General features: G+C 43.4%; 2 protein-coding genes across 14 annotated transcripts in view, besides 4 other annotated features; one reads left to right on the top strand and one right to left on the bottom strand.

Moving 5' to 3' along the window:
• The window catches only part of POLR1D (RNA polymerase I and III subunit D), a 46,669-nt gene extending 35,293 nt beyond the window's left edge, over positions 1-11,376 (bottom strand). The window contains exons 1-3 of one of the 5 annotated variants that reach the window (NM_001374407.1): positions 10,979-11,376; positions 10,110-10,782; positions 8,670-9,244 (exon numbers count right to left, since the gene is read on the bottom strand). In NM_001374407.1, the coding sequence (NP_001361336.1) occupies positions 8,869-9,244; positions 10,110-10,135 (402 nt within the window). In that variant the 5' untranslated portion in view covers positions 10,136-10,782; positions 10,979-11,376 and the 3' untranslated portion in view covers positions 8,670-8,868. Of the gene's footprint in view, positions 1-8,669; positions 9,245-10,109; positions 10,783-10,978 lie in introns of those variants that run through there. The other 4 variants (XM_047430381.1, NM_015972.4, NM_001206559.2 and 1 more) reach the window with 4 other exon arrangements.
• Positions 9,971-10,530: a silencer, noted in NCBI's record as "silent region_5204". NCBI's record gives its function as "represses an Ori minimal core promoter by ATAC-STARR-seq in GM12878 lymphoblastoid cells {active_cell/tissue: GM12878}" and the evidence as "EXISTENCE:reporter gene assay evidence [ECO:0000049][PMID:35858748]".
• Positions 10,834-11,562: an enhancer, noted in NCBI's record as "H3K27ac hESC enhancer chr13:28194694-28195422 (GRCh37/hg19 assembly coordinates)". NCBI's record gives its function as "activates a minimal SCP1, AML or CMV promoter by ChIP-STARR-seq in naive H9 embryonic stem cells {active_cell/tissue: H9 hESC(naive)}" and the evidence as "EXISTENCE:reporter gene assay evidence [ECO:0000049][PMID:30033119]".
• Positions 10,834-12,040: a biological region, named in NCBI's record as "H3K27ac hESC enhancer GRCh37_chr13:28194694-28195422".
• The window catches only part of LNX2 (ligand of numb-protein X 2), a 75,195-nt gene continuing 61,735 nt past the window's right edge, over positions 11,012-24,471 (top strand). For 2 of the 9 annotated variants that reach the window (XM_011534995.3, NM_153371.4), the window contains exon 1: positions 11,590-11,744. The gene's annotated coding sequence lies outside the window, so the exon portion shown is untranslated. Of the gene's footprint in view, positions 11,081-11,589; positions 12,102-12,137; positions 24,129-24,471 lie in introns of those variants that run through there. The other 7 variants (XM_047430151.1, XM_047430145.1, XM_017020434.2 and 4 more) reach the window with 6 other exon arrangements.
• Positions 11,151-12,040: a silencer, noted in NCBI's record as "silent region_5203". NCBI's record gives its function as "represses an Ori minimal core promoter by ATAC-STARR-seq in GM12878 lymphoblastoid cells {active_cell/tissue: GM12878}" and the evidence as "EXISTENCE:reporter gene assay evidence [ECO:0000049][PMID:35858748]".

Here is a 24,471-nt window from a genome sequence, read left to right as displayed (position 1 = left end):
TGGTGAAGATAGTAGTGTTAGAGGCTCTTGAGGACACAGAGAAGACAAAAATGAAACAGAATATAAAGCATAACCACCTTTATCAAGGCTCTCTATGATGCTTACTCCTGCCTCCCCTCAGCTCCTCCTCCCACTGAAGCCACAGGATAGGCATGGTTCCTTGTCCCACTCAATAATTTTTTGTCTTCTTGAAGCTTGTTACTGTGGTGGCTTTCTGAGTTGCAAATGTCAGCTGATAAGTGTACAAAATAATGTCATTATAAATCATCAGTCCTTCTTCCTGTTGTGGTACTCATACTCTGACACTGGTATGTAATCATGCACATTATTCATTGACTTTCTGAAGAAACATTAATGAAAGCCTACTGTGTGCCTGACCCAGTTTTAAGTGCTTGGGGTTCAGAAGCGAACAAGGACAAAGCCCTTGCCGCCAAGGAGATATTTTTCAAGTGGAGTTAGACAATAAATAGATAAATATATAATATAATGTCAGTTGACAATGAGTACTATGAAGGAATATAGCAAGGTAAAGGAATAGAGAGTGATGGAGGTTTGTATGTGGGTGTGCATGCCACTTTAGAGAAGGCGGATGGGTAAGCAGCCGCTAAGATGGTGCCAAGGATCCCCACCTCCTGGTATTCAGACCCTCATGTACTCGCTCTCAAGTGTGGGCTGGACTTACTGACTCATGTCTAACCAACAGAATAGAGCAGAGGCAATGGAATGCCACTTCTGAGAGTAGGGCATAAAAAGACTGGCTTCTGTCTTGGGTTCTCTCTAACTCTGTTTTCCTGGCTCTGGCAGGAAGCCAGCTGCCATGGCATGTAGCAGCCCCATATGAGTGAGCTTGTGGGCAAATCGTCTCCCATGCAATCCTCAAGAGTGCAGCCTGGATGACATCTTGACTACAGCCTTGTCAGAGACCCTGAGTCAAAATCACCCAGCTAAGCTCCACCCAGATTCTTGACCCACAGAAACTGAGATGTATTTGTTGCTTTCAGCCACTAAGTTTTGGGATAATCTATTACGCAGCAATGGACTAATACCCAGTCAAGGATGGTCTCTCTGAGCAAACGACTTTGGAAATGGACAGGCCATGTGAAGATTTAGGGGAAGAGAGGTTCGGGAAGTAAAGGGCAAGTGCCAAGGCCCTGAAATGGCAATGTTAGGCTTATATGCATAAAAGTGAGAAGGCCAGCGTGGCAGAGTCACAGGTGATGCTTTGGGTAGACAGCAGGGTGGGGGAGGCGGGCAGCTCATGCAAGCCAGCCAGGAGGGCTCCTATGGATAACATGACACAACCTGTACTATGAAGACCATAAGTTTAACTCCCACTAATTGACTTGAACAACAACCATATATATCAATAGCAATAGCTAATGTTTGAGTATTTAAGTGTACTAGAAATTGTGCTAAGTGTTTTATTTCATTTATTTCTCACAATAGCCCTATGAAGTAGGTGTTACTATCAGCCTAATTTTATAGGTATGAAACTGAGGCTCAGAAAGGTTACATCACTTGCCCACATTCATAAGATAGGAAGTGTGGAGCCAACAGGCCCTCTGACTTCAGAGTCCCTACCCTTCGCCTCTACACAACACTGCCTTGAAAGAGGTCAGCAGAGAAAGAGAAAGTCTCTCCCACCCATGAAAAAAACAAAAAACAAAAATTGTAACCCCAAGCTGTTGTTTAAGCCAACTAGTTCAATCTCTGTGTAATTAGATGCTCCAGGCTGTTGGATTTTCTCTTGGAGTCCTTTTAATAAAATTGGTGGGGGCATTATTCATAATTTTTTTGAGGTTTGACTCCAGTCAGGAAGGTAAAACTTAGAAAAGCACCAAGGTAGCTTTTGTTTTTGAGATATGCTAAGTGCCTTGCATAATGAACAGGGAATATACTGAGAAACAGTACTAGATAAAAAAAATCAGGCTGGCTATTCCAGCACTTTGGGAGCCGGAGGCGGGCGGATCACGAGGTCAGGAGTTCAAGACCAGCCTGTCCAATATGGTGAAACCCCGTCTCTACTAAAAAATACAAAAATTAGCCGGGCCTGGTGGCGGGTGCCTGTAGTCCCAGCTACACAGGAGGCTGAGGCAGAAGAATCTCTTGAACCCAGGAGGCGGAGGTTGCAGTGAGCCAAGATCGCGCCACTGCACTCCAGCCTGGGCAACAGAGTGAGACTCCATCTCAAAAATAAATAAATAAATAAATAAATAAAGTCTTTTTAATGCAGTTTTTACAATCAACTGACCTAGATTGAGCCCTGGCTACCTACCAATAGTCCAGATACCTGGCACCAAGCCAGGTACCCATCTGCTACAGAACTTGCTTTTCCTTCTGCTTAACCTTTATCTTAAAGCTTAAGGATGATTACGAATGTTCCATCAGAATCTTAATTTCTTTTTAAAAAGAGGAGAAACACAATTTGTCTGCGACTTTTCTCTATATCCTATTAATAAGAATGCTATTTTAAAGTATTTTTCTTAAAAGCTATGGGTTTAACAGACTGATAACCTTCCATACAGGGGTCCTCAAATCATATTACAGACTGAAGAAAACAAAAAAATACACAGGCTACTAAGATTTTTTGTTTCAAAGTTTTCACATGAAGGAATATAAACCAACCCAGCTTGCTCAACATCAATGATATTACAATAATAACATTAATAGCTAACATTGATTGAGAGTATGCTTTATGGTTCAGGTACTGTCCTAAGCACTTTGAATATTATCTAAATTAACACTTGTAACATCCCTATATGGTATTATTGTTATCCCAATTTGCAGAAGAAGAAACTCAGGCACAAAGAGATCAAACAGTATGTCCAAGGTCACATGGCTAACGTCTAGAGCCAGGATCAAAACCCAGGCATTGTGAGTCCAACAGCTCTAAATTCCAATGTTATACTGCCTAAGTTTGCTATGCCTATGCTTACTGAAAAGATACCCAAGATTCCACACATATCAATTTCTGTTCCTAAGGAAGGTCTATTTTGGCTGGGCACAGTGGCTCACGCCTATAATCCTAGCACTTTGGGAGGCTGAGATGGGAGGATCACTTGAGTCCAGGAGTTCAAGACCAGCCTGGGCAACATAGTGAGACTGTCTCCACACACAAAAAAACAAAAACAAACAATTAGCCAGGCATGGTGGCACATGCCTGTAGTCTCAGCTGCTCAGGAGGCTGAGGTAGGAGGACTGCTTGAGCCTGGGAGGTCAAGGCTGCAGCGAGTTGAGATTGCACCACTGCATTCCAGCCTTGGTAACAGTGCGACTGTCTCAAAAGAAGAATAAAAAAGTTCAATTAAAATAAGCCCCTCCAATATACATACATGTATCAGCCAATCGAAAACAACTCCAATATCCTACATATCCTCCTTCCCACAGAGTAGTCCAATATTCTTTACTATAATTGTTAGGTAAATACATATACAGATTAAAAACAGATGATATAAATTTAGGCACTAATAAAAGTCACAAACACAAGGCTGAAATATACAATTTATTCCTCTAGAAAGGTTCATAATTTTTCTTTCATTGCTGAATAATCTAAGCTCAGGTTTTTAAAAAAATTCTGGGCTCATTCTCTTTTATCCTTGGTCTCTCTCTTCTTGTATTTCTCTGCTCAAATGTTACCTCCTCAGAAAGGCCTTCCTTAACTATTCAGTGTTTTCTCCTTGTCATCATTAGTTTACTACCTGAAATTAAATGTTTGCATGTTTCTTTATTGTCTAACTCTGCCATCAGAAAATAAACTGCATGTGGGCCAACTTGTTCACTGCCGTATCCTGGCCCCTAAACTGTGCCTCCGTATAGTATGTGCTCAATATTTACAGAGCCAATTAATGAAAACATTCCCTGTAAAGCAAGCAGCTTGGTGAGTGCAGACCGTAAGAGCCAGGCTGTTCACTGCCCTGATCGCCTCTTCTTAACTCTCAATTTTCACATCTGTAGCCCTGGATTCATATCCTTGTAAAATACATGAATTCTTCTGATATGGGTTGGGGAAGGAGGTAAGGGTGGTTGCACCCACTAACTCCCGTTAGTAAGGACAGGCTGGAGAAAAGAAATGATAAATCCTGCCTTACTGGTTTTTGGTTGTGAGGGAATGGTAGGATAAACAAAGGGGTAAATGAACCTGGATATGGGGCCTTTGGGGTCATCTACAACTCTTCTATTACCCCTCTATAGAATCTGTCTCCAAGTTACTTTTTTTGTTTAAGCATTTTTTTTTTGTATCCATCCTTTTATCTCCTCTCTTACAAGTATGCCCTCCTTACATTATACCTGGACTATTACAAATGTCCCCAGTTCACTGCTGTCTTCCAGTTTCCTTCCACTCACCCATTCTGCACACAGGCATGGGACAAAAAAAAAAAAAAAAAAAAAAACTAAAACTTTACGGCAGTTCTAGCTCAAGAATCTTTAACAGCTCTCTTACACTGGAAAAAAGGAAACCATTTATTCCTGTTATTAATCATAAGCCGCCAATTCTTATTTGCCATCTTCACTGGCCAACAGAATGAGTGCTCATGAAAGAATAGATGTTTCAGCAGTGCCTTTCACCCATCCCATTCTGAATTCATCACATAATACTCCACACTGCACATTCGGGCACTTCATTGTCAATACAATTGGTTTTCTTTTTCATGTGTACAGCTCTTGTCTGCCTTCTCCAAAACCACAGAAGGGTTTTCAGGACAGACTCATAGTCTCTTATTTCCACCATTTCTCAGGACTGTGCTACTATTAGGTACATACTTACTGTATAGTTAAATAATTAGAGATCTAATAATCCAAGTTTGAGAAGAATTTCATCATGAGAAAAAAAAAAAAACCAGACCCACGCAGTAACTGTACCAGGATAGTTTATAAAGCAGGAAAAGAAAATAGCAACATTAAGAATTTGAGCAAGAAAAGGCTGGGTTTGGGGGTCTTAATAAGTACTTGAAAGCAGATGGGTAGATTTGGGTAAACTTCCTAAGAGACCAGTTTAAAGGTTGTTACAAAGAATGACTCTAAATTACGCTAACCAAAAAGAAGACTTTTGTCTAGTGATCTGGAGACCATCTAAAATCTGAATAACGTGTTTAAGGGAAACTAAAAGAAGAGTGGGGAGTGGTAGGCCACGGAACTTGATATGCTTTCCTATCTCTTGAGATGCAAGACACTCTTTGGGTCAGTACTGAAGAGACCACTTTGTAGACACCTTTCCATCTCTCGAGATTCTGTGTGAACCTGTGCATTATGCCAACTAATTAGAGTACTTAGATGTTACAGCTATATGCAATTTGTAAATAATTAGCTTGTAAAGTACTTTGAAAATAGAAAGTACCAGCAAGTACTCAGAATTACTACATGTTAAAAGCCTTTGGTATATATTTAATAATCAGCTTTTTAAAAGTCACAGTACTTTACAGCTGAAGAGAATTTCTGATCTTGAATCACTGGCATGAGTTTATTTAGAATGAAATGCTATTGGAGTGCAAATCAGATGCGGATTAACTTTTCACAGGATGTATAAGATTCACATTCATCTCCCTAGTCCTTTTTGGACCAACTCAGCTTTCCCTCAGGTCCCTACAGACTTTATGCAGATTCCTTTCACATATACAAGACTCTTGGTTAACCTGCCTGCCCCCTTCTCAGTTTCTTCCCTCCACCCAACTGCCTTCTGCAGGTGTTTTGTATGAACCCGTGAGTTTATGGTCACCCTAAAGACATTCAAGACTGCATTCTACGTGATCAGTCTAAATTCTTTTAGGTGCAATGAAGTTGTGATGTGGTGAGCGGTCGCCTCTGGCTGTGTTTCCCACTGTACTTCATCTACTATCATCAGTCTGTACCTTGATGTCCACTAATTAAACTTTGTTTTCATCTCCTGACAGGCCTTGGTTTAGAGGAATTAAACTCCAGGTAAGTAATTCTGTTTACTATCCCCACAGGCAAAGTTTTGGGAGAGGAAAAAAGTTTTTAATCCTTTTCCACATCCTTTTTGAGCTTCCTTTTATCTTCAAAGGCTAATGCCCTTAAACAAACATTGACTTTCCAGAATTTCTTACTGTCACCATAAGAGAATATGCTGTATCCTTGCCCTATGACATCCCTGCTCCCGCCTAAACTCACCTCTTCCAATGTCTTCATGTGATTCTTTTATTGGAAAACCAAACTAAGCCATTCCTCTGTATAATGAGTGGTAATGTTTACTCTTCTTAGGCAGTAAACTAATGCTGTTACTGCCTAGTGACCTCCACGTTAACTCCAGGTGACATTTTTCTATTCCCTATTTGAAACCCTTGGCTTCCACACCCTATTTTTGCACTTTCCTACCATTACATTGACCCAAACTTACAAATACTCTTATCTTTAACTCTTCTTTGACCCAAACTTTAAATACTGAAGTTGCCTAGGGCTTTGTTCTGGGCCCACTTCTTTGTCACCCTCTATTTTTTTTTTTTTAATCAATTTATGTCATCTTTATGGCAAGGACTCATAAAATTTGTCTCCAGCTTAGATCTCTTCCACGATCTCCAACTCACATAGCCACTGCTTACAATGTTCACAAATGAAACTTTTGACTCCTATCATCTTTTCCACCTCCCAATCTATTTTCCATTTTAAGCTTCCCAATTTCAGTAATTGGCCCCAAAGCTAGGCAGTAGTCATCTTTGATTCTTCATCTTCCACAGTTCCTGAAGTGTACCAATTCTGTGCCAATTCAATTCTAAAATATACCTCAAACCTACCTTCTCTTCTCCATCACTAGCTTCTACCCTTCCAGGCCACTTCAACTCTTTATAGTGTCTCTCTCTGCTTCTACTCCAGCCTCCCTATAATTCATCTCCCCCCACTCTGTAATCAAAGTAAAGAAGACGTCATTCCCACTGAACCTAAAATCCAAAATCCCTACTACCCCAACTCTTCCTCCCATGGACTCCAGAGGACAGGCCCTTCTCCTTGTCTACTGTGCTACAAAAACATGCAAATCTTTGTTCAATATCTTCAGTTCCTCATGCCACCAGTTTTCTGCTTTAGGACCTTTGCACATGCTATACCCCCAGAATGCATTTTCTCTCCTCTTTGCACAGCCAGCTCTCTCCCTTCCTGTAATCTCTAGAACACCTTTCCTAACTTCCGTGCCTAAAGTAGATTCCTTTCTTATGTTTTCTATCTTGACCCTACATTTGCTGCTTTTACAGAATTACAAGTTTTTAATTTTATATATTTTTTTGAGACAAGGTCTCCCTCTGTCACCCAGGCTGGAGTGCAATGGTGTGATCATGGCTCATTGCAGCCTCAACCTCCTAGGTTCAAGATATCCTCTCGCCTCAGCTTCCCAAGCAGCTGGGACTACAGGCATGTGTCACCATGCCTGGCTACCTTTTTTATTTTTTTGTAGAGACAGGGACTCCCCATGTTGCCCAGGCTTGTCTCAAACTCCTGGGCTCAAGTGATCCTCCCACCTTGGCTTCCCAGGTGTGAGCCACCATGCCGAGCCTCACAATTTTTTTTTAAGGGGCTCTTATAACACATGCTTTATGAGAACAGGACTTACTCTGTCTCATCCACTATAGCTATATATCTATCCCCAAGGCCTGGAACATACTAGTGCTCAAAAATATGGATATCTCTTTAAAGAATTTGGCTGAGTGTAGGAAATGTAGGCTCTATGGCACGCTAGTGTAAGAGGTCAGGTTTGAGTGACTGAAAAGCTGCATGCCATAACTACTTACATGAATTCATAGAGTATTTACTAAGTGTCCACTACCTGTCAGGTGTTCCAGGTACCAGAATCATGTTGACCTCCAAGTTGGTTTAGTGGGTAAACAAGATAAGCACTACCAATAGCATAGTAAATGCCAAGGCCAGGAAACACAGGGTGTAATGAAAGCACAAAGAAGTACCCAAACTAGGCTGAGAGGCCTGACACATAAGCTTTGACTTAAGAGTACGGCAGGAGTAAGACTGGCCCAGGAAGAGGGGATAGATAAACAAGGGCCCAAAGCACAGAGCACTGGCGGGTGGGATATGTGTTTTCCAAAACAGTCATTTCCCCTATATGGAATTTTCCTTCTCCTTGGCTTTACCTTCTCTCAAATAGGGCTTCTTCTACATTACCCTAGGCTATACCTACTTAAGGACTGAAAATGTTTTCTAGTCATCCCAATTTTCTCCTTCTGTAATATAATCAAAACATCTTACCTTACTTAGATCATGACTAAGTATATCCCAAAATTCAAGCAGTAAACTGGTATCTTTCCTGTAAATGCCTCAAAGATGGAGCCTTACTCCCTAAAACTCTCATGTAAAACCAGAATTCTCACACTTCTTCCAAATTATTCCCACCCTTGCCAAGTCTACCAATCACAGCAAATGATGCAATTCTTTAAAAGCCAAAAAGTTTAGCAAGAAGCCAAGTCCCCACCCCAATCTTCTTTCCTTCTGTTTTTAAACAACAATCTAACTGGGGTCATGGTTTTTGTCTCTTCCCTTACCCCCACCACTCCAACTACAGACATGGATATATACTTCTTTTAATTCCCATGATCACAGTTCTTGTCTAGGCCTCTGATATTCTCAGTTTCCTCATTTTCAATGCTGGCTTAATTAGAAAAAAAGTCATCCTCAAGGACCATTTGGTTGCATGGAACAGAAACCAGTCAAACTAGTTTAAATAAAAGAGGGAATTTATTAGAAGAATACAGAGGTTCTTGCAGAGATTCCAACAGCTGCAAGGGGTCAACAGCTAGAATCACGCCTTTCTGAAGGACAGAGTATGCTGTAACCACAAACTTCTAATTCTGGGTTCTGCACCATCAGGAAGAGAATATCCTACAGGACAGTTCTCCTTGTATACTGCATAAAGGACTAGAATGTGGATTCATTTCTGCTTGCTTTTTGATCCTTATAGTCCTTTATGCTGGCCTCAAACTTGTCAAGCACATGTTGGCAGACATTCATGAGCTCATTCAGGCCTCTCTGAAATGGCTCAACAGCTGGAAGGGTACCTCGAGTCTGAATGCGTAAATTAATTTTGCTCTCTGAAGGATGGGTCGTAGTGTAACCACAAAATTCCACTTCCGGGTTCTTCATGATCATGTAACGTAGAGAATTTCCTAGGGTATGGTCTTCCTCGTGCAATACAAATGTCACACAGTGTCTATCTGTTCCAGCTGCCTGGACCATTTCCAGGGCTGTCTTCCTCTCGCCTTCAGCCATTGAGGTCTTCAATCCAGATATTTTTCTACACACATATTTTTTATAAAAATGAGATCATACTGAATATTGTTTTGTAACTAGCTTTTTCTCATTTACTATATCACATTGCAACACATTATTATTAATCTACTCCAGCTACACAGAATTATTCGCCTCTCATTTTCCTGCCTCCACAAACTCTATCAATAAATATTTAATTTATTGCCTCCAGTTTTTCCCTGCTCCATTTGACCATCCACACTGGCCACAAGGGGAGTTTTCTTAGAAAAACACAAACTTAAGTGTTTGCAAAAATATTTTTTGGTAGAGTCACAAGCAAGGGATAGGATTAGAATAGGACTGGTCCTGCTAGAGGATGAAGAGAGGGTTGAAAGGCATAGAAATCCCGATTGCTCTAGTATAAAAATAGAGGATACAGATGATCAATGTGCAGGCCCAACTACGGCTTCCATTTTGCAAGAGAAGGAAACTAGGAGAATGGAAGGTTCAGGAGTCAAGCAGCAGGGAGAAAAAGAGCTCAGCGCACAGAGTGGCTTTAGGAGCAGTCTGCACATAGAAAGAAGGTGAGCCGTAGTTACAGGGACAGAGGCACGAGTACCGTCCTCAGGAGCAGAGGCCCGGGGCGTGATTTTTACACACTGCTGTTGTAACGGGGGTGGGCAGTTCGGATACTTAACTCTGGTCTCCCAACTTGTCTTCCCTCCTTGATAGCTAGTGTACCTCTCAGCCTCTCAACTGAAACACATTCATGTCTCCTCCCCACTTCTCTCTCCATGCTTCTTCTCTGCGCCCCGAGTCAGGCCCCGGCTGCCAGGCCAGGCAGCGTGCCCCTCGGCCACCCGCTCCCCTTGGGCGCGGCCCGCTCCGCCCGCCTCCTCCTCGGCCGTTACCTCTCCAGCTCCTGATCCTCTTCCATCGCTGGGGCGGTTTCTGGATCCTCAGGTGGTGCTGGCGGATCGGGGGCTCTGTCCCATAGCGCGAGGCGCGGAGGCGAAGCAGGAAGCAAGGACCGACCGACGGAAGGCGCGGAGGACGGAAGGAGGGAGGAGGAGCCGCAGCGGCGCGGCAGGGCCCAGCCGCGGGGCGGGGCATGAGGCTCCACCCCCAGCCCCCGCCCCGACGCGGGGTGAGCGGTGGCTCGCGGCCCCGCGGCTCACCTGGGCGACCACGCGAGGCCACTCGCGGCGGGAGGGGCAGGGGGCGGGGCCAGCGCCGCCTTACCCCGAGGCCCAGACAGGCCTGCGGGCGCCCCGGCTCAACTCTGGTACCTTTCCCCAGGTGATGGCGAAGGGGCGCGGCCTTACCTGCCGCCCCCAAATCACTTCCCTTCCCAGTGGCAAGTCCGAAAGCGGCCCGACTTCCCAACTGGGGCGGTGTTGACCCAGGATGGCCCTTCCTGGGACCCCGGCCCTCCCGGGCCTTTTGTGGGACGACAGGCTTAAACTGTAGTCGGTCAACACACCTTGAAGAGGGAGGGGGGTCACGTGCGAGATGAGTCACCACAGAATACGAAGGTTGAAGGCGGTATTTGTTTCACCGGGGAGCTTGCAGTTGCATTTTCAACTGGGTCAAAATAGGGCAAGAAAGAAATGTCTCTTTTGGGGGAGTGAGAGTTTGGGAGAAAACTGTTTCCCACCTTATCCTTTCCGTCCTAGGATTCCTTCTACCCCCAGAGCGCGTCCTCTCCGGCTGTAGACTTCCTTTTCCCTTTCTCCCCAGTGGCTCCTCAAACCTCCTCACCTGCGGAACCCGCCCTCACCTTTGTTCCCAGGCGCCCAGCCCCCGCCTCGGCAACCTTTCGCCGCCCAGGCTCGCTCTCCATCCAGCTCCCTGCGTCCCGGCCTTCGCTGTGCTCCCTCAGGTGCGCTTCCTCTCGAATCGGCCCTTCTTGTCCCCTCGCCGCTGGCCCCGACCCTGCCCGACTCCAGCTGTCCAGCGCAACTACGTTTCTGCTTCCCTGCGCCACCTGTTCTCCTGGCCTCCCCCCACCCCGCCCCGCGATTCCTCTGGATGTTCACTCCTTCCCCAGCTGTGCCACTCTTGGCGGCGGCCGGGGGTGCGCGCAGACACCTAGCCAGCGGGGCTTCCGCAGGGGAATCAGGCGGGCGGCGGGGACAGCCCGGGGCGAGTGGGGGAGGCGGGCGGCGAGGGCGGAGTGGTCTCACTCTAACCCGGGAGTGACGGGTCCCTTCTGGCCCGCCTCCCGAGCTCTCGGATAGGTGGAGCCGCCCTCTGGTCCGCCCACCTCCCGCCCTGTGCTACCTCCGATTGGCCCGGGTGCGGGTTGGGCCGCTCGGCCTTGGCGCTGCCCCCGGGAAGGCAGCAGGGGCGGTTGAGAAGTGAAGTCTTGGCCGGAGTTTGCTTTTTGCCAGGAAATCCGCGGCGGCGGCGGCGGCGGCGGCGATTCCTGGCGGAGCGGAGCCGGGCAGGCTCTCCGCTCCCTCAGCGGGCCGCGGAGAGCGGGAGCTGGTGCCGAGCAGCGGCGCCAGGAGCCCGTGCGCGGCCCGGGCAGCCGCGCTTTCCCAGTGAGTAACTTTGCCCTGCCCGCCTCGCTGCGCGCCCTCTCGCTGGCTGCGGGCAGCCGCCTCAGGTGCGGGCGTCAGCTGGGTGTGGGTCAGCGCCGCGCCCCGGGAGGCGGCCGGAGCGGCGCCACAGCTCGCCCCGGAGCCTTGGTCCTTCGCGGCTGTCTTCGCTCGCCCGGGCTGCGGGGCTGGCGTGGACTCGGGTGTGGGTCTGGTCCAGGAGGGAGAGTCGGCGCCCGGTGCCCGCCGCCTGCAGGCGCCCGGGAGGCGGGCGGCCTCCGGCTGTTAGCGTTTGCTGGTTCCGGCCACCGTGGTGCAGAGCTTGGCGTCGTTTGCTTCTTAAGGGAAGGGAGAGGTGGGGTGAGTGTTTAAATTTCCTCTGTGTGTGTGTGGTGTCGGCAATGAGAGTGGCACTAGCTGCCTTTATCGGGTTTTGTTCTCTGGAAAGGGATGGGGAGAGATCATTCCCTCCGCCCCAGCCTGTTGCCTGTGAATTCTCACCTTTCTCTTTAGGCTGGAGAGGGTGGGAGAGAGATTTGACATCTTCCAGGGGGTAATTTAAAAATATGAATCTTGATTTGGAAGCAGTTGCACACAAAGCATCATTCAGGAAATACATCACTCGCTTTTCAAAGCTGTATGCCACGTTTTAAACAAGGACTTTTGACTCATGTAGTGTTTCTTTTAGTATTTCAGTTTACGTTAAGTTTATGAATCCAGACGTTCGTTTGTACCAGGAGCTAAAGTACACTTATGCATGGGCTTTGCTGTGTATATTATGCTTTTTAAAATCACAGAAATCAGAAACAAAGTTGAGTGAAAAGCGGTGGCGGTGCAGGAGGAGGAACACTTGTGAGCTCCAGCTTATTGGAACTGCCTTTAAGAATTTCACATTCTTGCGGCAATAGTACTTACTTGTAAATTGGCCTTCTTCCCAGGACAGGTTTTGATATTTCTTTTGCATGTACTTCGATGCAGCACTAATGAAGTTGGATCTCAGTAGATCAATTTTATTTACTTTGCTAGATTTGATTCCCACCCCCACACCTCTTTAGAAAATGGACTTTGGCAGGTAAAGAAGGAAGCGGGAATCTGGTATCCTTTTTGGCTTGTCAAAGCTTTGTTGAGCCATGAATAACAAAGTTTTGGCTTTTTAGCTTGTCCGAGTCCCACATGTGAGTTTTCCCATGGGGTAAAAGTAGGCCAAATGAGAACCAAAGTAGAATAACATCACTTTTAATTCGGCCCACTTGTGTGTTACATTCTCCATATATCTTGTTTCTCTCATCAACTTTGAAATTTTTTCATTATTTATTCATTTAGCCACTGATAAAGTACCTACTGCATGCCAGCCATTGATGGCGGGGGTTGCTTCTTGCCCAGTTTTCTCATTTGGAAACTGATCCATGCCTTTATCCCACTAGTTACCCTGAAGTAATTTGAACTTAGGGAGCATTTCTGCCTGGAGACCTGTAAGAATAGGTGTTACGTAGGCACTTAGTCTTCAGATTGGTTTGGGATTTCGTACATTGTAGGCACGTAGCACGCAGGCCACTTAAAAATAAATGTATGTGTCTTTGGGCTGTTGTATTACGAGCTTTGCATATGGGCTTGTCTGGCCGAAGGACCCAGTGTCCGAGGTGGAGGTAGTAGTCAGGGACATGTATTATTCATTTCAGAACACTTGGCACCTTTTCTTGCTTACATTGGGCACTAAAATATTTACTGAATTGACTTGAACAGAAAAATGAAGGATTTTTTATACCAGATTAAGAAATTTGGACTTTATCCAGTCAGTGATACTGAGCTGCTAATTTTAAGCAGGAGAATGTCATGATAACGGGTAAGCATTCCAGAAAGATATCTGCAGCGTCTGGAGGATGGTGGGCTTCCAGATGGGCGATATGGAGACTAAGTTGGAGGCTGTTCTAATGGAGGGGTTAAGTGCTCAGGGATTCTCTATTCAGATTACCTGGGGTGGAATCAGGCTCTGTCATACACTGAAACCTCTTTGTTCCTTAGGTTTGTCATCTCAGAGTTTGGGGGATAGAACTTGAAAAAACATGTCTATTACTTAGAATAGTGATTGCCAGATAGTAAGGACTTAGTAAATGCTAGTGTGCTGGCAGTGGAAGGAGAAATGACGTGGTGTTTAAGAGGTATGACTAGGAGGCTGGACTAGGTAAGTGACTGGGTAGGCTTAAGGAGGGAAGGATGAATCCTGGGTTGTTTGACTTCAGGCATTGATTGACATGTACTGGGTAAGCTGGCTGTGAAATTAAAACGGGTCAAATTCTAATTCTATTACTTACCCTTAGAATAACTATCCTGACAGAACTTTGATTTCCTAACATTTGGGAAATGATTGTCGTACCTGTTGAGTAGGGTTTGAGGAATTATGCATGTAATGCCTTTGGCAGGGTACCTAGCACATTCCAAGTGCTCAGTAAATATTAGTTGTTCCTTTAGATGATGACATTAATGAGCTAGTGGAATGTTGGAGGATATGAGAAGGAGCAGTTAAAAACAATTGATGGTAGAGGTGTAGAAGGGAAGATAAGTTCAGTTTTGGACTAATCTAAGGAGGTGCTAAATGGATGGTTGAGAGATCCATGATGCAGTTGTTGGATAGTTGTGTCTCACAGGAGCTAGGAAAGAATAGAAAAGAAAAAGAGTTCACAGAAAGGCTTTATGAGTATGGTAAGCTTTATGAGAGATTTAGAGGAAGGGGAGGGTGAAGGGGTTCACAGTGGAGCGATATCAGAAGTGTTGACATTGAATATTAGGCATTTCTATCCTTAAAATATATTTTGGCCACCATCAAAGAAAGGAGGACTCCAGGCTCTTGTAATCTGGTTGGCTCTTTGGCCTTCTTCCCCTCTTCTTTCTTTCCTTTACAATTGCCACCCGATATCTTTAAATTGTATTATGAGGAACTATTTAACTTTCCTTCCTGCTTACAGGGCTAGAGTTCACAGGCCCACCTTCCTCTATCCAAATGCATCTAGGTTTTTAAAAAAGAATCACAGGTCTCATTTCATAGGTTCTCCTCTATTTAGGAAGCAGTGTTGTTTGAAAAAGTAATACATATGTATCTTGCATGTAGAATTAGAAGACTGGGGCAGGCCTACCTAAATTGACCCTGTAGGAGGGCCTGAGAGTCTTACAAAAGACATCCCTTTTAGCTTTCCTGGCACCTGTTTCTTTTCCTCAGAAAATACAAAGCAGTAGGAAAATCTGTGGTTAATAAGTTATTTTGTTTGGTTGGATTCAGAAAAGGTGGCTATTTTGTGTATTAGCCTTCTAAGAAGTTATTAAGAGGAATTTTTTGGCCAGGTGCAGTGACTCACGCTTATAATTCTAGCACTTTGGGAGGCTGAGGCGGGCGATCACGAGGTCAGGAGTTCAAGACCAGCCTGGCCAACACAGTGAAACCCTGTCTCTACTAAAAATACGAAAATTAGCTGGGCGTGGTGGCAGGTGCCTGTAATCCCAGCTACTCAGGAGGCTGAGGCAGGAGAAATCGCTTGAACCCGGGAGCTAGAGGTTTCAGTGAGCTGAGATTGCGCCACTGCGCTCCAGCCTGGGTGATAGAGCTAGACTCCATCTCAAAAAAGGAATTTTTTAACAAGCAAGTGCTCATGACATTACAATAATAAATTGTCCTCTAGTTAGTATGCTTTTAAAGAAGCAGGTGTTGTAGGTTCTATCCTTTAGAATGTGTGCTTCCTAGAGCTGGGATCCTATCTATTTTGCTAACTGCAGAATCCCTAAGTACTTAAACAAATATTAATGTATTGTAAACCAAAAATAAAATTCTAAGCTTCCCCCTCTCCCCAGCCATCTGAATGGACTTCCTCCTCATCCAGGGGTCTTTTAAAATTTAACCTGAGAGACAGTTTCAGGCCATGAGTGGGAAGTGGAGGTCGGACATGACTTGTTATACCTCTCTGACATTAACATTAACATAGACTTTAAGTCCGATAAGAAACGTTTTACTACCACCTATCGAAGCCTACTACCTGAAGGCTTCCTCTGAAAGTAAGAACTTGGGTCTCCACAATCCTTTGTCTTAACCCAGACATTCCTTTCTGTTGATCCCAGGGCTTTAGACAAACTCAACCGACTGTCAACCAGAAAATGTTTAAATTTACCTATGGCTTGGAATGGCACTCCCTGCTACCCCCCCCAACCCCCCACCCCACCCCCGACCCCCTGCAATTGTCCCACCTTTCTGGACCAAACCAATGTATTTCTTAAAATTTTTTGATTGATGTCTCATGCCTCCCTAAAATGTATAAAACCAAGCTGCACCCCTACCATCTTGGGCACATGTTCTTAGGACCTCCTGAAGGCTGTGTCATGGGCCATGGTCACTCAGATTTGGCTCACGATAAATCTCTTCAAATATGTTGCAGAGTTTGACTCTTTTTGTTGACAGCATGCATTAATGAACAAATTGGATCCAAATTGGCTTTGATCTGGCTTGGCTCACAGACTTCTCCAAATCTTTGAAACAGTCATTGGTCAGAGGGAAAGCAAAAGAGAATTGATCCAGTGAGGAAGCTTGAACTGTTCCCTGTTCTTATAGGAATATAGAAGAACTGCAACATTGATGGCTTATGATTAAGCTTCTGTGATGTTGTGAAATATATATATGGTCTTTATCCCTGTTTCCTGGCATACAACTCTCAAATTCCTTGGAATCTGCAAAGCGCTAAGTGTCTTTGTATGCTGATGAGTTGACTGAACAGCTGGCAGCCCCTAGGTAGCTTCAGGATGGGCCCTGGGCACTGGAAAGGCTGGATTAGAGGGTTAGGACTGTCAGCCCCACCACCACCCTCCAGGGAGGGCAGAGGAGCTGAAGGGTAAGCTGATCACCAATGGCCAATGATTTAACCAACCATACCTATGTTATGAAGTCTTCATAAAAGGCCCAAGAGGACAGGGTTCAGAGAGCTTCTGGACAGCTGATCACATGGAGGTTCCTGGAGGGTAACACGCCCCAGAGAGGGCATGGACGCTCCGCACCCCTTCCCCGTACCTCGCCCTGTGCATCTCTTCATCTATATCCTTTGTAATATCTTTTATAATAAACTGGTAAACCTAAGTAAGTGTATCCCTGAGTTCTGTGAGCTGCTCTAGCAAGTTAATTGAACCCAAAGAGGGGTTATGGGAACCCCAAATTGAGGCCAGTCAGTTAGAATTTTCTGAGGCCTGCACTTGCGACTGGTGTCTGGTGGAGAGGGGAGCGGTCTTGGAGACTGAGCCCTCAGCTTTGGGATCTGGGGTTATCTCCAGGTCAGAATTGAATTGAACTAGAGGACACTCAGCTGGTGTCCACTGCTTTGTGTACTGGGGTGTCGGGGGGAGCCCACATTTGGACATAGAAGTATTCTGTGTTGATGACTGTTGTGTTGAATAAGAGAATAGAAAAAAACACTCCTGAGTGTGTTTTTATTTCCTCTCAGTTTCCAAGGCTCTGTTGTCTATCACTTTGTTTTATAGATAAAAGTAAGGTAAGTCTGGGAAATATTTATACCTGCCACCCCCTTCCCCGTTGGGATTTCGGCTACTAATCTTAAAGACTTAATCGTTTATGAGAACCCTTATCATTTAGACCAATAAATAATTACTGAACCCATAAATTGGAGACCTTTACTTAAATCTTATTTCAGTTTTGTGACTTTTTCTTCTTTAGCTGCCCAATGGGTTCTTCCTGCCTACTGCCCAGATAGAGCCAATTTATCAAGGCAGGGAATTGCAATAGAGAAAGAGTTTTTACACACATAGATCTTGCGGAACAGAAGACTGGAATTTTATTATTACCCAGATCAGCCTACCTGAGCATTTGGGGGCTATTTTCAAAGGTAGTCTGGGGGAAGGGGTGGGAGTGGCTAGGCAATGGGTGCTTGCTGCTGATTGGTTGGGGGCACAATCATGGGGGTGTGGGAAATGGTACTCCTATGCTCTGAGTGGCTTCTGGGTGAGGCCACAGGAGTGGTCAGTGGGTCCAACCAAAAAACCTGAACAGATATCTCAAAAGGCCAATCTTAGTTTCTCCAGTAGTGATGTTATCTGAGGGAGTAATTGGGCAAGTTGCATATCCTGTGACCTCTGGAATAGTGGCTGGCAATTGTTTATGTCTATACCTTAGCTGAATTCAGGTTCCTCTGTTGCCTAGCTTCGTGGTCCCTCATTAGCTTTACAAAGGTGGTTGAATTTTGGGGAAGAGCTGTTACCATTTAAACTATAAACTAAATTTCTCCCAAAATTAGCTTGGTTTAAGCCCAGGAATAATTAAGGGCAGCTTGAAAGCTAAAGGCAAGAAGAGAATTGGCTAAAATCTCCCCACTGCTATGTTTTCACTGATATAATTTTTGCAAAGGCAGTTTTACTTCTATCTGATTTTTAACATTTGAACTTTGACTTCAGTTTAGTTGTATTTAACAAGTACCTAAGAAGTGCTGGGCTTGGGTGGCACACAAAAGATTGTCTCTGCCCTTGTAGTATTTAAAATCTTAAAAGACATTCATTCGAGTAGTTAATCATTTGCAGCCGGGTGACCTTTGCTTCGCCTGTATTTTTATTTTTTTATTTTTATTTTTTTGAGACTGCGTCTCGCTCTGTCACCCAGGCTGGAGTGCAGTGGCACAGTCTCGGCTCATGGCAACCTCTACCTCCCAGGTTCAAGTGATTCTCCTGCCTCAGCCTCCCCAATAGCTGGGATTACAAGCACCCGCCACCACACCCAGATAATTTTTGTATTTTTAGTAGAGATGGTGTTTCATCATGTTGGCCTGGTGTCGAACTCCTTACCTCAGGTGATTTGCGTGTCTTGGCCTCCCAGAGTGCTGGGATTACAGGCATGAGCCACCACGCCCGGCCTGCTTCCACTGTGTCTTAACATTCATTTGGCATCTTGTCGTTTCCCTAAATTTTCCATGTTAGAAATCTTAAAACTTACATATCCTGTAGTTGGACCTCCGTCTCTTCTCCTATCTTTGCAGCTCTCTCAATACCCACACTTTCTATTAGAGTGCCCCCTCCCCCTCACAGCAACAGTGTGCCAGTCCTTCTGTTCCACCTCACCCTCCCCTCCCTGCTGCAGGGACACCTTTTGGCCTTGCAGAGCGTCTCTATCCAGTTTGGAAGCCCATGGTTAAACACCTGGAATATGCTTCCCACTGGCACCTTTGCCTCCCTTGGACTTGTCTTTTGTGTTGTACCTGCCAGATAACGCCCCTGTTCAGATTAACTCTGCTTCTGTCTCCACATTGCTTTGGTATCACCAATTAAATGGCTGGTCCTCAATGCAGGGAAATGTCCCTCAACCCCCTACCCCCATACCCTTCAGTCAATTTGTAAACGTTTGTTTAGCTCCTACTGAGTGCTCTGACACTGAGCCAAGGATGCTGTGGTATCCTCATGGAGTTTACAATCTAGAGGCGATTCAAGATAATATTCTGCATATATTGGGTTAAATAAAATATTAAAAATAATTCGACCAGGCATGGTGGCTCACTTTGGGTGGCCAAGGCAGCAGAATCACTCAAGCTTAGGATTTTGAGCCTAGCCTGGGCAACATGGCGAAACCTGTCTCTATAAAAAATCAGCTGGGTGTGGTGTCATATGCCTGTGACCCCAGCTACTGGGGAGGCTAAGGTGGGAGGATCACCTGAGCCCAGGAGGTTGAGGCTGCAGTGAGCTGTGATTGTGCCACTGCACTCCAGCCTGGGCAACAAGAGTGAGACTCTGTCTCAAAATGATAATAATTCATTCACTTGTTTCTTTTCGTTTTTTAAACATAGCTACTGGTACGTTTGAAATGACACATGTGGCTCAAGTGATCTTTCTGTTGGATGATGCTGGCATAGGGTGTTTGGGTTATGAGAAGGGAAACTGCCCTAGTCTCTGCAAAGTGGGGTATCACTGAAGACTTCCTGAAGAAGTTGTCCTTAAACAGATATCTGGCTGAGTAGGTGTTACACAGGTAAACCCTCAGAGGAGGCAGTCAGAGGTGGATGGCACTTTGAGGGAGGGGGAGGAGGTGGATGAGAGAGAGCTGGGACCATGGCAGGGGCTGAGGCCAGGGAGGTAGGCCATGGCCTGATCATATGGGTCTTGTTAGCCCCAATGAGGGTTTTGTTCTTCATCACTCATGATTTAGTCCAAAACTTCATCATTACAAACCCTTTTATCCAACTCCACCTCTTCTATATAGTCTGCAGATAATCTGGTTATTTCATGGAGGAAATGAGATGATCTGCTGTGATTTCTCTAGGACTTTTCTGTCTCTCCCTTTCCGAACTTTACCTACTTAAGTCTCAGATCTGTTTTTCCAAATGTGCCTGTTATCTCTTCAAGTCTCCTTCAGGAGCGGCTTTATCAATTAACTCCCTTCTTTTCTATGTTTAATCTCTTTCTCCCTGCTTTCTTTTTCACACCAGCCTATAAATATGCTCCAATCTTTAACCTTGTAAAACAAACACAGTTCCATTGACCCCACATTCTTCTCTAATTATTGTTCTTAAAGCATAACATTTTTTAAATTCCATATTTTAAAGCAGTGTGTTCAAAATATATGTCATCAATATGAAATTGTAAATGTGATTTGACATTCTTTTTTCCCATATTAAGTACTGAAATCTAGTGAAATGGTTTGCACTTAGACAGTATATCTCAGTTTGGATGCTGAATTTTCAGTGGTTGAAGTAAAATAAATTCTACCAAAATTATGAATATTTAACAGAATAATATTTTACATTGCTTCAGCTTTTTATTGTGGCAACCACATAAAATTTACTATCGTAACCATTTTTAAGTGTACACGTTTAAATATATTCACATTACAGTGCAACAGATCTCCAAAACTTTTTCATCTTATGAAACTGAAGCTCTGTACCCATTAAACAACTTCCCATTTCCTCCTCTCCCCAGTCCCTGGTAACCACTCTTCTACTTTTTAGAATTTGAGTACTTTAGATACCGCATGTAAATGAAATCATACAATATATGTCTTTTTTTGTGTGACTTGCTTATTTCACTTAGGATGATGACCTCAAGGTTCATCCATGTTGTAGCATGTGACAGAATTTCCTTCCTTTGTAAAGCTGAATAATATACCATTGTATACATATACCACATTTTGTTTATCTGTCGGTAGACATTTGGGTTCCTTCTACCTCTTGGCTATTGCTCATAGTGCTGCCATAAGCATGAGTGTACAGATGTCTCTTTGAGACCCTGCTTTGAATTCTTTTGGATGTATACCCAGAAGTGGGATTATTAGATCATATGGTAGTCGAACTTTTTGAGGAACCTCCATACGGTTTTTCATTGCGGTTGCACTTGTTTTACAATCTCACTGTCAGTGCAGAAGGATTCCAGTTTCTCTACATGCTCTATGTTCTCACCAACACTTGTTCTTTTCTGTTTTAATAGTAGCCATATTAATGGGTATGAGGTGATATCTCGTGGTTTTGATTTGCATTTTCCTGGGATTAGTGATGCTGAACTTCTTATATGCTTGTTGGCCATTTCTGTATCATTTTTGGAGAAATGTCTGTTCACATCCTTGGCCTGTTTTTTTTGTTCTTATTGTTGAGATGTAGGAGTACCTCACATATTCTGGATATTAACCTCTTATCAGATACGATTTGCAAATATTTTCTCCTTTTCATTCTGTTGATGTGTCCTTTGATGTGCAAAAGTTTTTAATTTTAATGTAGTCCCATTTGTCTATTTTTGCCTGTGCTTTTAGTGTCATATCCAAGAAATCCTTGCCAAATCCAGTGTCATGAAGTGTTTCCAATATGTTTTCTTCTAGGAGTTTTATAGTTTCAAGTTTTACATTTAGGTTTTTAGTCCATTTTGAGGCAATTTTTGAATATGGTGTAAGATAAGGGTCCAAACAAAATATTTTGAGCATATTGCTGAGACCCTGCTTATAGCAAAGAGAGGGAAAGGTCTGAAATACATGGAATAGTTTTAAATTGGGAGAATTGATGTCGCTTATTGGGCTAGAATACAGTTTTCAGCTGCTTCATAGTATATTTTAGTGTGAATTTCTCTGTTGTTTTTATTTCTTATAGTTGCAAGATACCAATTTGGAAACAGTCGATAGTCTGGGTTTAGCTGAAGCTGAAATATAAAATTGGTAGGGAGAGGCCAGGTATCACAGTGCATGTGGTTGTATCCTGTGCCTCTGCTACTAAATATGTCAAGCATTTGATCAGTAGTAGCAGTGCATGACCTTTTAAGACCACTATGCGAAGGCTATTTAATAGATTTCAAGTGTCCATAGCAATTAGTTCCCACATGAAATATTTATTAATCTCATGGATTTCTCAGTTTTAGGCTTTGTGCTTTTATTATAGATGAGATGTATTAATTGATACTTCAATAGACTAATTTTAGATTTTGCTAAAAATAGACATAATTCTATTTTGGGACACTGACCTATTCTTTTTCCGGTATATGTAGTACATTTATTAGCACATTTGAATTTCTTTTCTGTTTTTAATGGAGTATGATAACATTAAGAAACCATTCAGGATTTATTTTGAGAGTCTGGATTTTTTTCAATGGTATAGTACCTATTTTTTGAAAGGATTAAAAACTTTTAATGAATCCCTTTTGCAGAATGTAGAAGGATGGTAAAATCTTGAGTACTGTTATTAAACATCAGTCAACTTTCAACTAATTTATGTTGTATTAACTTTTTTCCTATAAAATGATTACCTGTAACACAGTTGCTCTGCATGATTTTAGTCTTTCTAAATGTGATAGTGACTATATTTTCTCTTTCTACAGTTTGGGTTCACCTGAAAGTTGGTGCTGGAGGAAAGCAAACCATTATGTAGTTCTTAAGTTGTTTGTTTATAATATAACTTTCTTTGTCTTCAAAAAGAATCACTCTGGGCCAGGCGCAGTGGCTCACGCCTGTAAACCCAGCACGTTGGGAAGCCAAAGCAGGCAGATCACCTGAGGTCAGGAGTTCGAGACCAGCCTGGCCAACATATAATGAAACTCTGTCTCTACTAGAAAATACAAAAATTAGGTGGGCATGGTGATGCACGCCTGTAGTTCCAGCTACTTGGGAAGCTGAGGCAGGAGAACTGCTTGAATCCGGGAGGCGGAGATTGCAGTGAGCCAAGATCGTGCCACTCTACTCCAGCCTGGGCAACAGAGCGAGACTCCATCTCTTAAAAAAAAAGAAAAAAAAAATCACTGTTGGTTATTTGAACCTTTTGAAAAGAAAATGATTCTGTTAATGAAAAACAGGCCAGGCGCAGTGGCTTATGCCTGTAATCCCAGAACTTTGGGAGGCTGAGGCAAGTGAATTACATGAGGCCAGGAGTTCAAGACAAGCCTGGTCAAAATGGCAAAACCCCGTCACAAAAATTAGCTGGGCATGGTGGTACACATCTATAGTCCCAGCTACTCTGGAGGCTGAGGCAAGAGAATCGCTTGAACCTGGGAGGCAGAGGTTGCAGTGAGCCAAGATCGTACCACTGCACTCCAGCCTGGATGACAGAACAAGACTTTGGCCCCCCACCAAAACAAAACAAAACAAAAAACTCAAAGAAATTGCTCTCTAAGTACACTAGGATTTATGGAAGGATATCTTTCTGGACAATAAAGCTTAATATTCTTAAAAGTAATATTTTAAATTTAATTTAAAATTTAGCAATATCTCAATTTTAAAGAATGTTTTTCTGTTTGGTTACTCTTGGGGATTAAGCAGCACATCTGTTTGATTTACCTTATTGTATACATTATAAACTACATGAAGATATAAGGGATACATGTTGATTTTCTTTTTTAAAATCGCAGTGTATATTTTTAAAATTAATACATGCTTAATGTAGAAAATGCAGGAAATCATAAACTATGCAAAGAGAATAAACATTACTAATCCCACCAGTTATAATTCTTTTAAAATAATATTTTCCAACAAATATTTGAATGCCTATTCTGTGCTGTGTACCATTCTAGATATTTGGGATAGAAAAGTGAATTATAGAAGTTCTTGTTCTCAGAAATCTAGTCTAGATTATAATTTCAGTATGATTACTCTATTTTGATAACATATTTAGATGACAAAAGCATAGAGTTGTGACAAGGCAAAATAAAAATTTATTAGCAGTTACGAGTAAAGAATAGTTTCAAGCAAACATAAATTTTAGCCTTTTCATGACTGCAGGTCCTAAGATAACTGAATACATATATGTCTTCTTTTCCCACTGGGTGTTTATTGAATGCCTGTTATGTGCCTGGCACTGTTCTACATGGTGAGACTATAGCAATGAGCAAGACAGGTGGGATCTCTGTTCTCATGGAGTTTACATGCTGTGGGGCAGGAAGAGAAACAACAGCAAATAGGTAAGCAATTAATGGAGAGGATAATGATGGATGCTAGGAGGAAAATTAGATGATGTGATTAAATCTCAATGGTCTGTTATGCTGGTTACTAGAATCTACAGCTGATCTCCAGGTTTCATTTTAGCTATTTGTCTCTTCACCACGGAAATTTAACTAATAATGCCCAAAGGAATCAAATGGTGTCATCTTTGCTTCCTGCCCTTTTGTACCCTCTCCTGGAGGTTTCCCAGTCAGTGAAATGGTTAAATAGTGAAAACTGGAAATAATTAAGAGTCAAAACAAGGCATATAGAAAATTATTTCTCAGATAATTTGGACTTTCAGGAAGCTAGGAGTTTGTTGAG

The sequence above is a fragment of the Homo sapiens genome, chromosome 13 (assembly GCF_000001405.40).
Source record: "Homo sapiens chromosome 13, GRCh38.p14 Primary Assembly".
Lineage (NCBI taxonomy): Eukaryota > Metazoa > Chordata > Mammalia > Primates > Hominidae > Homo > Homo sapiens.
The sequence above is the reverse complement of the archived record's forward strand: the minus strand, read 5'-3'. Positions and strand labels throughout refer to the sequence as shown.